The 14041-nt window shown below is 43.0% G+C and overlaps 1 protein-coding gene and 1 long non-coding RNA gene across 2 annotated transcripts in view, besides 2 other annotated features; one reads left to right on the forward strand and one right to left on the reverse strand.

Annotated features, from left to right (window-relative positions):
- The window catches only part of ALPK2 (alpha kinase 2), a 147845-nt gene that overhangs the window by 74536 nt on the left and 59268 nt on the right, over positions 1-14041 (reverse strand). The gene's annotated exons all lie outside the window — the stretch shown is intronic.
- ALPK2-AS1 (ALPK2 antisense RNA 1) lies at positions 1240-10896 on the forward strand. Its single transcript, NR_188108.1, has 2 exons — positions 1240-1406; positions 10680-10896. It is a non-coding gene; the product is annotated as an ALPK2 antisense RNA 1 (long non-coding RNA).
- Positions 6708-6847: an enhancer, noted in NCBI's record as "active region_13396". NCBI's record gives its function as "activates an Ori minimal core promoter by ATAC-STARR-seq in GM12878 lymphoblastoid cells {active_cell/tissue: GM12878}" and the evidence as "EXISTENCE:reporter gene assay evidence [ECO:0000049][PMID:35858748]".
- Positions 6908-7037: an enhancer, noted in NCBI's record as "active region_13397". NCBI's record gives its function as "activates an Ori minimal core promoter by ATAC-STARR-seq in GM12878 lymphoblastoid cells {active_cell/tissue: GM12878}" and the evidence as "EXISTENCE:reporter gene assay evidence [ECO:0000049][PMID:35858748]".

The raw sequence follows: 14041 nt of genomic DNA on the forward strand, positions 1-14041 counted from the left end.
TGCTACTTGTACATGGTTCTAACTGTGAAGGCCCTGGGCCTTTTAAAAACTTTTTTTGAGACAGAGTCTTGCTCTGTCACCCAGGCTGGAGTGCAGTGGCACAATCTCGTCTCACTGCAACCTCTGCCTCCCCGGTTCAAGCGATTCTCCTGCCTCAGCCTCCCAAGTAGCTGGGATTACAGGCACCCGACACCACGCCTGGCTAATTTTTGTATTTTTAGTAGAGACGAGGTTTCACCATGTTAGCCAGGCTGGTCTCAAACTCCTGACCTCAAGTGATCCACCAGCCTCGGCCTCCCAAAGTGCTGGGATTACAGGTTTGAGCCACCACGCCCAGCCTTAAAAACTGTCTTTTAAAGCTATTCATTAATTTATTGGACTAGATCTCACACACACACACACACGCACACACAATTCATGAGGTATGCAGTGAACAGGTATATAGTAAAAATTGTGTCTCTCCACCCAGTTACTCAGTCACCTTCACCAGAGGCCACCACTGTTATCGACAGTTATTTTAGTTTTGAGGAGAGCTAAGGAACTCAGACCTAAAATGGAATTAGGGAAGCTATTTAACCTCATCGATAGAGACAGAGCCTGGAGTCAGCAGCCTGCATTCAAAGCAAGGCTTCGCCGCTTCCTGACGTAGAGCCTGGCTGACAGGCTTTATCTCACAGGGCTGTTGAGATAATGAAATGAGCCAGCCGCTGCAAAGTGCTTAGCCCAGGCACCGTGCATTTCTACCTTCAATACGTGTCAGCTGTTATTAGCTACGGGGTGGTGGAGCTGGTGGAGGAAGGTGGGAGGGAAGGGTGGGGCATATTTAATCCTTTCTGGGGAAAGCCCTAAGCCCTCATTATACCAAGGGTAGAAATCCCTAGGAATCTGTTAGAAATGCATGGTCTCAGGCTCCTCCCCAGACTCGCTGAATCTTGACAAACTCCCCAGAAGAGAAGCACTGTCCTGTATGAACCTAGAGCCCCTGAGGGCTGGGCCACTGTCCTGTGTGAACCTGGAGTCCCTGAGGGCTGGGCTGTGGCATCCCTGCCCCAGGGGAGACGGTGCTGCTGTCTCTTCATTGCAGACATGAGCCCTTAGACTTTGCATGATGAAAGCTCATGACAAACGCTACCTACTCCCGAGCCCCCAGCTTCCTATTCCACATAAGATCTCCTAAGCCCAATAACCTGTGACCTCACAGATGAATGGAACATGTCCTCTTTCGTCCTGTAGCTCCACGGTAACCTGAGAGATGGCCTGGAGGCAGGGTGGCATGTTGTTTTTAAAGTGATACAAGAGACACAGTGGAGACCGTCCAATGAGTGGCATGGCTGCCAGGATGCCAACTGGGACACTAAAGCCCTGGCAGTGGGGGCTGCCCAGCAGGGCTGGCCACTAGAAATAAGGTCTGTGAGGGTTGAGGGCCGAGAGGCTGGAGGGGCTCATGGGTGACCAGTGCTGCTGTTTGCCACTTGTTCTAAACCAGCAGACCATGGCTAAGAACACTGCCATACAGGAAGCCGCCCTTCCTCTAGGGCAGAATCACACATGATGGTGGGGGAGGCGTGTCATTAGACATCGTCCAAACCCACAGAATGGGCACCACCGAGAGGGAACCCTCATGTAAATCATGGGCTTTGGGTGATGGTGATGTGTCAATGTAGGTTTACCGATTGTGACAAATGCAGTCTCTGATGCCGTGTAGATAGTAGGGGAGGCTGTGCATTTGTGGGAGCAGGACATATATGGGAAATCTCTGTACTTCCTGCTCAATTTCTCTGTGAACCTAAAAGTGCTCTAAAAAAGTCTATTAAAGAGAAAAAGAATTATATATAAGAATTACGTATAAACTATAGTGTGTGTGTATATATATACACATATATATACGTGTGTGTGTGTGTGTGTGTATATATATATATTTATATTTTGTCATTGGATTGTATTTATAGTTTGTCATTGGATCAGCTGTAAAAGAGGAAAGAAAACCAACATTGAGGCCCAGGGCAATAGCTTTTAAAAAATTACAATAGAGCTGAGTACATGCAGTCCCAGCTACTGGGGAGGCTGAGGTGGGAGGATTCCTTGAGCTCAGGAGCTTCCAGGCTGCAGTGAGCTATGATCACACCACTGCACTGCAGCCTGGATGACAAAACGAGATCCCGTCTCTAAAATATATAAAAATAATCACAATGACAACAGAAATCACTTAGAGCTGGACTATCCAACCTGGGAGCTTTGAGCCACATGTGGTTAGTGAGGCTTGAAATATGCCTAGTTTGAAGGAGGAACTGAATTTTTAATTTTAATTAATGTGCATGTAAATTTAAAAGCTGATATATGTGATATTGTTAGGGAGAAATTTTAATAGGTTTGGAACAATTTGGATATGTGAATCTACCCTTCCAAATTAATTTCATGAACTCTAAATACAGATCAAGTATTTCCAAAGAATAATTAGCATCCAAATTGAGATATGCTATGAATGGAAAATATACACCAGAGTTTGGAGACTTAATACCAAAAAAATGTAAAATATCTCATTAACAATTTTTATATTTACATATTGAAATATTTGGTTATACTGAGTTAGTAAAATATATTATTAAAGTTCACTTCACCTGTATCTTTGTACTTTTTAAAAATTTGGCTTCCAAAAAAAGTAAAAGACGTAAGTGTCTTACCATCATACACTGCTGGTAGGAATGTAAAATGGCATAGCTGCTTTGAAAACCAGTGTGATGATTCCTCAAAAGGTTACACATCGAGTTACCCAGCAATTCCACTCTTAGGTACTTACCCAAGATAATTTGAAAACATATGCCCACAAAATGATCTCGCACATAAATGTTCATAGCAGCATTACTCGTAATGGCCACACAGTGGAAACCACCCAAATGTCCATTAACTGATACATGACTAAAACCAAACCTGGTGTGCCCATAAAATGGAATATTATCTGGCCATAAAAAGGAGTATTGATAGATTCTCCCACATGGGTGACCCTTGGAAACATTACACTAAATGAAAGAAGCCAGACACACAAAAGCCATCTACTGTATGATTACGTTTATACAAAATGTCCAGAACAGGCAAATCTATTCAAGACAGAAAGTATAGTAGGATTTGCCAGGGGCTGGGGGAAGAAGGGGAGAGGAAGTGACTGTTAATAAGTATGGGTTTCTTTCAGGTATAATGAAAGTGTTCTGAAATTAAATAGTGGTAATGGTTGGTTGCACAATTTGTGATTGTACTTACAAAAAATTACATACTTGGCTTGCATTAAATTTCTATTGGACAGCACTAATTTTAATGAGATAACTATTTTCTTTCCCAACTGTGATTAGTGATGGTATATAATCTAGCCAAAGCTAATCAACGTGGGGTGATTTTTGCCCCCATCCCCACCCCATGGGACCTGTGGCAGTGTCTGGAGACATTTTTGATAGCCACAACTGGGGTTGGGGTGAGGGGAAGAGATCGCTACTGGCCGGGGATGCTGCTAAACATCCTACAACCCACAGGCAGCTGCCCGGAACAAAGAATTATCTGGCCCACAATATTGTAGTGTGGAGGTTGAGAAACCCTGCACTAAAGGCTGCTCAGAGGATCCCTGCCCCAGCTACAACATCCTTTGCCCCAGCTACAACATCCTTTGCTCCATCTCTGCTGCTTTGACTTCCCAGGGGTCTGATTCAGGGTGTGGCCTTCTCAGAAGACTTTCTCCTGGAGTCCACCCCATCACAGTCCTCAGGCCAGGAACTCCTAGTGATTCTGTGGACTTGGAAACTTCCTAAGAAGAATCCTGAAAGGGCCCGGGGATTCTATAGTTGATTGGCTATGGAGTCTCTGACTCAGGCCTGACCTTCTGAGGCTTCTTGAGTCCCCAAGTGTGATACTCTCCACAAAGCTGGCTTCATGCCAGGTAGATTGCCATTTTTCTTGTTGTTTTCTCTTCCACGTCAGATTTTCTAAGCCAAAGACAACTGGAATTTGCACAGTCTGCGTGAGGAATGGGCTGCTTCTCTGACACCTGAAGTAAAAACCCAACCAGGGATATCCAGACTTGCCTTCAAGCATGTTATTTTGAAATTACCTACTCTGTCTGTTTCTGATAACTGCTGTAACAAATGACCACAAATTTAGTGGCTCAGAACAACATAGATTTATTACTTTACAGTTCGGGAGGTCAGAAGTCCAACATGAATCTCACTGGGCTACAATTAAGGTGTCAGGAGGGCCATGTCCTTCTGGAGGCTACAGAGGAGTGACGTGGTTTGGCTGTGTCCCCACCCAAATCTCATCTTGAATTGTAACTCCCACAATTCCCACATGTCATGGGAGGGACCCAGTGGGAGGTGACTGAATTATGGGGGCAGTTCTTTCCCGCACCGTTCTCATGATAGTGAATGAGTCTCACAAGATCTGATGGTTTTGAAAACAGGAGTTTCCCTGCAGAAGCACTCCCTTTGCCTGCTGCCATCCATGTAAGACATAACTTGCTCCTCCTTGCCTTCTCCCATGATTGTGAGGCCTGCTCAGCCATGTGGAACTATGTATCCATTAAACCTCTTTTCTTCCCATTCTTGGGTATGTCTTTATCAGCAGCATGAAAACTAATACAGGGAGAGAATCCCCTCTGTCCAGCTTCTGCAGTTGGCCTGCATCCCTTGGCACATGGTCCTTTCTCGACCTTCAAAGCCAGCACAGTAGCATCTTCAAATCCTTCTCTGACCGATGCTCCTGTCTCCCTCTTCCACTTATAAGGACCCTTGAGACCAAGTGGGACCACCTGGGTCAAAGATAATTTCCCCATGTCAGGGTTGATAACCTCAATCACATCTGCAAAGTCCCTTTTGCCATAATTCACTTCAGTAACATATTCACAGGTTCTGAGAATCAGGATGTGGATGTCTTTGGAGGGAATTATTCTGCATACCATACTGTTACGTGGGCATGGGCAGTCTACTTCAGGGGGGCAGGGTCACTTAGGCACACTCTGCTGCCTTTGTTCCATAGGGAAAAGAAATAGGGTATTTTTGTTTTTCCAGAGTTGGAGAATTTGCCCAATCTGAGTTCTCAGGTAGTTAGATGCTGACTTTCCAGATCTAATTCTCAGCAGGCCTATGCCCCAGAATGGCCAGTGAGAGATTTACTTTTCCATTTTTATATCTTTGAATAGCTTCAAGTGAATTACTGTGATTGAGATTTTTTTTATTATTTGGGATTACAATGCTTCTGAAGTTGTCACACTTGCTGAGTTTAAATCCCCTCTAACAGGTAAACCTATCAGATTACATGACAGTGTTCAACTTAACATTTATTGAGATCTGTCAGATACCGTATGTGCCCAAGAAAGCTCAGCAGTGACCCACAAGGAATATAAAATCTAGCAGGGGAGATAAAGAAGTATACTGCCAATCTAACCCCAGTGTGATGTGCAGCAAAGGCTCTAAAGTCAGTAAAATAGCTTTAGGACTCTACTGGGGAGGGTGTGAGGAAGGGCTGGATGGTTATGCGAGGATGCTGAAATATTGAAAGGGTGATGAAATAAGCCACATTGGAACACTGGGCCTTCAGGAATGGGCCAGAATCCTTTAAGGTCAAATCTAAAAAGGGGTTGTCCTCAGTGTCCTGGAGGACAGGAAAACAAACCTTAATGGTAGGCATTAGGAAATTGTCTTAAAGATCCCGCCCCCAAAAGCAGACCCTGAGACAAGAAAGTGGATGCAGTTAGTTTATTCAGGAGATGATCCCAGAAAACATGGGGAGAAAGGGGGAATATAAGATGGAAGCAAAAACCACCAGGAAATGGGAATGAATGAATGACTGTGGGCTGCTGTGGACAACAGGGGCCTGATCACTGGGGATCCTCTAAAGAATCGTGTGATGAATGTCTTAGACTCACTCCACAGGAAGCTACGGAGTCTGGGACACTGTCTACCAACTCCCACCCCCATTGGTGGAGGACTTTCCTGACTTCCAGATCCACTTTCTGGTGTGGCCAAGCAACCTCCCAGCTCATGAAGTTCTCAGGCTGTGGGAGCTGTCAGGTGGTGGAAACTTCACCTGCAGCTGCAGGGAACCTAGGTGGACTGAGTAGCTATGGGGCAGGGCATTATCAGCACCTGCCTTGGGAGTAATTGAGTACTTTCAACAATCTGGATGCTGGGGCCAATCCATGGGGTTCTTTCCCCTGAGTTATTCTGACTACACTCAGTCAGCATTCAGTGATCATCCTCACCTTCACCCGCTTCAATTTGTGCTGTGTTGATCTGATTTTCTTATGGAGCTTGAGTTCCAGTTTTGTCACTTACAGATAGAGGTGCCCTGGGCATGTTAATTAACCTCTTTGAGCGTTATGGGCCAGCTCACAGTTTTGTTACATGGACTACCAGAAATGCCAAATGTTGGACATTAATATAGTACTTGGAACACACAAATATTCAATAAACAGTTATGATTTTGTGGATGATGGCAACACTTCTGTTTCTCTCTACCATCAGTGCAGACTTTTGACCTATAGAAGTTGAGATGATGATCTAAAAATTTACCTCCAAGATGGTTTCATTTTCAGTCTTTTTAACTATAGAACTGACTGATGTAATTTGTGACATACTGCTTATTTTTGGTAAGTAACAATTCCATTTCAGAAAAATGCCTTACTGAAGTGTCAGTTGGTGTCGTGCCATAAGCACAATATCAGCATCATTCAAAAGAACCTAGAGCCTCCCAGTGAATAGGCTAACCTCTGGTATAAATTAGGTACACATGGAAGCTATTTTTGACTACAGGGATGCCCTTTAGTGGTTCACTACATTTATGTACCAAATGGCTCCCAAATTACCTGGAGCTGTGGATGTAATTTCTGAGGGTGAATTTATGTCTCAGCTCAGGCTGCTATCACAAAGGGCCGTATATTGGGTGGCTTAAATAAGAGACATTTATTTCTTCTAGTTATGGAAGCTGGGAAGTCCAAGACAAGGTGCTGCTGATTGAGTTCTTGGTGAGGGTTCTCTTCCTGACTTGCAGGTGGCTGCCTTCTCGTTGTGTCCTCAGATGGCAGAAAGAAGAGAGGAAGCAAGCTCTCTGGTGTCTCTCCTTACAAGGGTTCTAATCTGGTCATGGGGCCCCAGCCTCATGACCTCATCTAAACCCGATTACTTCCCACAGACTCCACCTGCTAATAGTATCACATTGGAGGTTAGGACTTGGACATATAAATTTTTAGGGGTTACAAACATTAGCCCATAGCACCTTAGGATTACAGAGTGATGCTCCCCCTGGGGGAATTTGGCAGCTCATATAATACAGTCTTACCATATATGGTCCTAGAAATATAAGAAAGGAAATGATATCCATATCTATTGGCTCAATTTTTTTTACAACACTCATTTTTAGAGCCCTTGGACTTTTGAGGGGCTCCTATCTAGCATCTAACTTTCAATATCTGCTCATGATCACACTATTCCCTCAGTGATCAAAGAAAAACATTCTCTTGCTGGCTTTTCGTCTCTTAAAGGATTTTTAAAAGCTGTAGTATTATAATATGCATCCTATTTTTCCAGTAAAACAGAGTGGAGCTCATGTTGTGAAACAGCTAGAAAGGGGGAACAGAGACATTTTGTTTTTAAAACCATGAAATGTATTGTCAGTTACCTTAGGTAAGAGTGAAAGAAGTGACTTTGAGACTGACTCATTTAGGCTAGAATTGGTGTGAGGTATAAGGGCATTAAGCTGAGAAAATGACCAGGACTGTAGCTTTGGTTCTGCCAATAAACAAATGGTGTGACCACAGGCAAAGAGATTACTCTTTCTCTCATGAACCTGTAAGTTTCTCAAGGGAAGAAACAACATATATATTGCTTTGTAAATTGTTTCCAAGCATTTAAAAAATATCTTTAAATATTTTCAAGGCATGATTTTTAATGCCTGCATAGTCCAAAGAATATTGTACCATAATATATTTTACCATTCCTCCATTGTTAGATTGTTCTCAGTGTTTCATTATTGTGAACCATGCTACAATGAAAAGACTCTTGTCCCGATGGCTCTATTTATACTTCTGATAATTTTATTAGGCTAATTACAGGGCCAAAATTTACATGTTAAAGGATTAGTAAATATCACCAATTTGACATCCAGAAGGGTTGTACTAATTTGCACTCTTGCCAGCAGTGTAAGAGAAAAATCTGTTTCCATACAGTCTTATTAGCATGAAGTATCATCACATTAAGAACAATCTCTGAAAATTGAGAAAGGAAGGAAAGGAGGAAGGCAGAAAGGAATGGAGTTGATAAGTTTATGATGAATTTCATGAATTGCGTATTTGATGTCTTTGTTCTTTTTTTTTTTTTTTTGAGATGGAGTTTCGCTCTTGTCGCCCAGGCTGGAGTGCAGTGGTGCGATCTCAGCTCGCTGCAGCCTCTGCCTCCCTGGTTCAAGCGATTCTCCTGCCTCAGCCTCCCACATAGCTGGGATTACAGACATGCGCTACCACACCCAGCTAATTTTGTATTTTTAGTAGAGATGGGGTTTCTCCATGTTGGTCAGGCTGGTCTCCAACTCCCGACCTCAGGTGATTCGCCCACCTCGGCCTCTCAAAGTGCTGGGATTACAGGCATGACCCACCACACCTGGCCCTGTTCATTTTTTATTAAGCTATTCATCTTTTCTTACATCACTTTCTTTGTACATCACAAGTGCTTTTCTAAGTTTTTATTTGTTTTTAATATCAGTTTATGGTGGGGGTTTTTGTGCAAAATTCTTACATCATCAGGTTTTTTTTTTTTCCTTTTTGCTTAGACAGACTTTCCTTACCATGAAAGCCACAGTCTCTTCCACTTTGTTTGATATTTATTTTGGCAGCTGATGTAAAATTAGGGATTCACAGGACCTCACTGCCTCGGAAATTAACAGATCTTCATGTTTGACCCCTTCAGTTTACACTGAGGAAAGAGGCCCAAAGAGAGGAAAGGAAATTACCCAAGGATATACAGTTGGTTAATGGCAGAACCAGAACTAAAATCTAGCTCCCAGTTTATGTCTTCCTTTTTTAAAAAAAATTTTTTTAAAAGTTTTCAATATTATCAGTAAAAATAATTTCCTTAAACATTTAAAAACATTAATCACCCCTCCAAATGTTAGGTTCCTTGCTTCCCTCTCCAGAGTTAATCCTATCATTTGAATGTATTCTTCCAGATCTAAAAAATAATTTTATGTGTTTATATATGTATATACAAATAACATATACTACTATGGAATGGTTGGGGGGCATAAATTGTATCGTATTGTATGTATTATTCTTCAGTGTACCTTTCTAATTCTATGTTGTTTTGAAGCATCCATCATTTGAGCAGGCCACATTTTATTTAGCCAGTTACCCATGAACATTTCCTTAGAAACGTTTCCTTAGAAATAATTCTACAACACACATGATGTCACATGCTTCCTTGGGCCTTCATGCAAGCTTCTCTCAAGAGTCGATATTGAGAAGTGAAACTGCTGCATCATGGCTAATGCCCTTTTCAGTTTTAAGAGATTTTAAGAGATTTTTAAAGAGATTTTGCCAAATTAATCTTACTGGCAATGTACCCATTTCCTTATAATATCAGCTTGGTACTGTACTTTTAATTTTTTTATCTATCTGATGAAAGATGTTATATCTTTAAAATTTGTATTTTCCTAATTACTCATAAGGTTGAGCAACTTCTTGCATATTTATTGACCATTTATCTCTTCCATAAACTTTGTATATATTTACCTTTTAAAAATAATTCAATTGTTACGGATGTTTTATCTATTTGATTTTTATATACCCTGGAAATTAATCTTTGTCTATTACAATGTCCTACATAAAAAGTGTATCACTTTAATTTTCTTAGTGGTATTTTTGTTCTATAGAAAAATTTTAATTTGATGTAATCAAAATTATTGATATTTCTCTTTTTTGTTCCTTCCTTCCTTCCTTCCTTCCTTCCTTCCTTCCTTCCTTTCTTTCTTTCTTTCTTCCTTTCTTCCTTTCTTTCTCTTTTTTGAGATGGAGTCTTGCTCTGTCACCCAGGCTGGAGTGCAGTGGTGCAACCTCTGCCTCCCGGATTCAAGCAATTCTTCTGCCTCAGCCTCCCGAGTAGCTGGGACTACAGGCGTGCACCACCACGCCCCGGCTAATTTTTGTATTTTTAGTAGAGATGGGATTTCACCATATTGGCCAGGCTGGTCTAGGACTCCTGACCTCATGATCCACCTGCCTCGGGCTCCCAAAGTGCTGGGATTATAGGCGTGAGCCACTGCACCAGGCCTATTATTTTCCCAAGAAGATCTTATATCTCTCAAGATCATGAAAATCATTTTGAAAAATTTTTTCAGTACTTTATAGTTTTTTAAAAATTTTAACTCAGAGATCAAATAACATCAGTTTATTGGGGGTCCATTGTAAGGTACTGATATCTTTTCCATATGGTGGCTAATTGTGTCAGCATTGAAGCACTTGTCTCTTCCCTACAAGTTGAAAGACTATTTCTATCCATAAACCAAATTCCAGTATTGGATTCTGTACTCTTTCCTCAGTTTGGTTTATCTACTTATGTACGGCAACTCCCACACTATCTCATGACCACAGCTTTATCATTTGTCTTGATATATGATTGGGTTAGTTCAATGCTTTTTCCATCTCCTTTCAGAGATGCAAATTCATCTTCTATCATAGCCAAAGAAGACCAACAAAGACCAACAGAGGCCATGTCTCGCATTCAGCTCCAACAGCAGGCAGTAGATTTGTTACAGAGACTAAAACCCACCTTATTGCCAAGTGACCCTCCTCTCACCAGCCTCCCCTGCTGCCACCCAAATTCCTGCCACTGAACTACTCCTCAAAATAAAACACAGCTGTAAAATGCACACCTGTTTTGGATTAGTTACAATAAATCAGGATCTGTACTTATTTCAGTTCCCCAGACAGGTGAAGAACAAGCTGCGTTTATAGCAAGCCAACTAGAAAGCAGAAGAAAATTCCAGTCACGAGTTTTTGTTTTTCCTCTTAGGGCAAAGGAGGTTACACTTGAGGAGCCTAAATTTCTTGTTGTTTCCAAACTCCTGTGAGTCTTTACAGAAATGCCTCTAAAAGTTGTAGTATTCTCTCTCTAGATCCATCTAACTGAGCCCATGGTTTCCAAACTTTAATGCCCAAGAGAATCCTCAGACCGCATATTAAAAATGCAGGTTCAGGCCTGCATTTATTTCTCAGACAGCATATTAAAAATGCAGGTTCAGGCCTGCATTTATTTCTCAGACAGCATATTAAAAATGCAGGTTCAGGCCTGCATATTTTTTCACGGTGGCTCATGTCTATAATCCCAGCACTTTGGGAGGCCGAAGCAGGCAGATCACCTGAGGTCAGGAGTTCGAGACCAGTGTGGCCAACATGACGAAACCCTGTCTCTACTTAAAAAAAAAAAAGGCCGGGCGTGATGGCAGGCCCCTGAGGTCCCAACTACTCGGAAGGCTGAGACAAGAGAATCGCTTGAACCTGGGAGGCGGAGGTTGCAGTGAGCCGAGATTGCGCCACTGCAGTCCAGCCTGGGTGACAGAGCAAGACTCTGCCTCAAAATTAATAAAAATGCAGGTTCAGCAAGTCTGTGGTAAAACTTAGGGACCTATGTTGTTTTTTTAAACACGCACCTCATCAGGTGATTCCAATGCAAATAGTCCAGGCCCTCACTTTAAGACACTGCCCTGGGGACTCCAAGCAGAGTAGAACCACCTGAACACGAGACATCCAAATCCTTAGTGCAGGCTGTTTGCCAGGACATGTTTCTGTAATGAGTTAGCTCTGTGAGATCGGTCTACAAGAGAATGATGTCAGTATAACCAACACGTGGCATTGGTTCATACGCAGTTTTTCTTTGGCAAAGGGAACCAGAATAGCTGGAATAAATTACAGAAAATTGAGCAGGAAAACAAGCCTTTGACTCAGCCTCTGCATTGGCAGCAGGGGCCCTATTAAGTTGTATTTTAACAGAATTTCAAATGCAGCCTGCCCTCAGTGGTCCTCTCTCCTAAGAAGCAAACTCCAAGCCCGTGTGTCTAAGGGCAGGTTGAGTGGCGCCCCCAGACCCACTTTAACAGCAGCTTTGCTGGCTCAGAGACCCACTTCTGTCTTTGAGGTCTCCGCACCCTCAAGCTGGCTCCATCTGAAAGATCTCCAGCATCTCCACTCTGTTGTGTGTTTTTAATATCTGCCATGGTGGCCTCCTGCCAGCCTGGGCCACCTCCCTGGGCAGTCCAAGTGAGTTTCCCGGGCACATGTTTTGATTTTATTAGTTTCTGGTTTCAAAATGGTCTGTTTCCTAAGTGACCTCTTGGGGATGCTAATTTTCCCCAAAGCCCTTACACTTTAAGGGTGTGATTTTTCAGAATGTGAGGTGTTTCTGGGATGCATATATGGCACTAGGACAGGAACGCCTTATGTGTGAAGAATACCCATTGCCTCTGTTTGAAAAGTGCTATTGAATAACCTGATGCTGTGTTCCTTGGCTAAGATTGTGGGAAATCACGGGCAAGGACTCCCGAATCCCCAAGAAAGTACATCACAAGCTGTATAGCCTTTAGCTCTCTGCAGCCCTACTCAGGGGAGGTGGAACTTGGAACCCCCCAGGATTTAGCTCCATATGGGCTCCAGGACTCTCAACCACAGCTGTGCCTCAGTTACCCAGGGTCAGCTGGAGCTTCCATAAGGCACGCACGCCTGAGCTCTACCCTCGATCTATTGAAATAAGGACCTCCGGGGTGGGGCTTGTATGTCTGTATACAGTTAGCCTCTGTATCCGTGGGTTTTAAATTTGTGGATTCAACCAATCATGGACCCAAGAGATTTGGGGAAAAATTGCATCTTTACTGAATGTGTACAGACTTTTAAAATTGTTACTCTCAGCAATAGAGTATAACAACTATTCACGTAGCATTTACATTGTATTAGGTGTTATAAGTAATTGGAGATGATTTGAAGTGAACAGGAGGATGTATATAAGTTATTTGCAAATACTATGCCATTTTATATCAGAGACATGAGCATCCTCAGATTTTGGTATCTGAGGGGGGTCCTGGAACCAATCCCCTACAGATACCAAGAGACAAGTCTATTTAGAAGTTACAGGCTGGGCACAGTGGCTCACACCTGTAATCCCAGCACTTTGGGAGGCCAAGGCAAGAGAATCACTTGGGGCCAGGAGTTCGAGACCATCCTGGGCAACATGGCAAAACCCCATCTCTACTAAAAATAGAAAAATTAGCCAGGTGTAGTGGCATGTGCCTGTAGTCTCAGCTGCTCGTGAGCCTGAGGTGGGAGGATCACCTGAGGTCCAGGCTGTAGTAAGCAGTAACCAGGCCACTGCACTCCAACCTGGGTGACAGAGACCCAGTCTTGGGGGGGAGAAAAAGTTTCCATATGATTGTGTAGCTCAGCCAAGGCTCTCAACCTTGGAAGTATAGAGAATCACCTGGGAGCTTTTAGAGCTTCCAACGCCCACACTGCAGACCAAATCACATCAGAATGTCTGAGGGCAAAACCCAGGCAGCTGAATGTTCTAAAGCTCCCAGGTGATTCCATGCATAGCTAGGGTTGAGGGCTTGGCTTTGGGGTCTTTTCTAATCTGAGAAGGATCCTATACTCTGTGGACTGGGGCTATTGGAACTTCAGTGTGTGTATGAATCTCCTACGAGTCTGGTTGAGAATGCAGATTCTGATTCAGTAGGACTGGAACAGGGCTTCTGAGCCTGCATTTCTAACCAGCTGGTCCGCGGACTACACCAAGAGTTGCACAACTGCAGGCACTAATGACTCTTTATTGATTATTTAACCCTGACTGAGGATAATAACTGTAGTAAGCCAGGACATTAAACTGCAGGTCCAGGACAGTTAATGGTATTTGGCAGAAGTGGCACAGCAGGCTTTGTGATTAAAAAGAAAACAAATGTTTGTGTTCCTCCCTGGGTCAGCTAAGGAATGGTACTGACAAGAGGCATGCTGGCCACACTCTAAGAGATG

This window comes from Homo sapiens, chromosome 18, assembly GCF_000001405.40.
Source record: "Homo sapiens chromosome 18, GRCh38.p14 Primary Assembly".
NCBI classification, from domain to species: domain Eukaryota; kingdom Metazoa; phylum Chordata; class Mammalia; order Primates; family Hominidae; genus Homo; species Homo sapiens.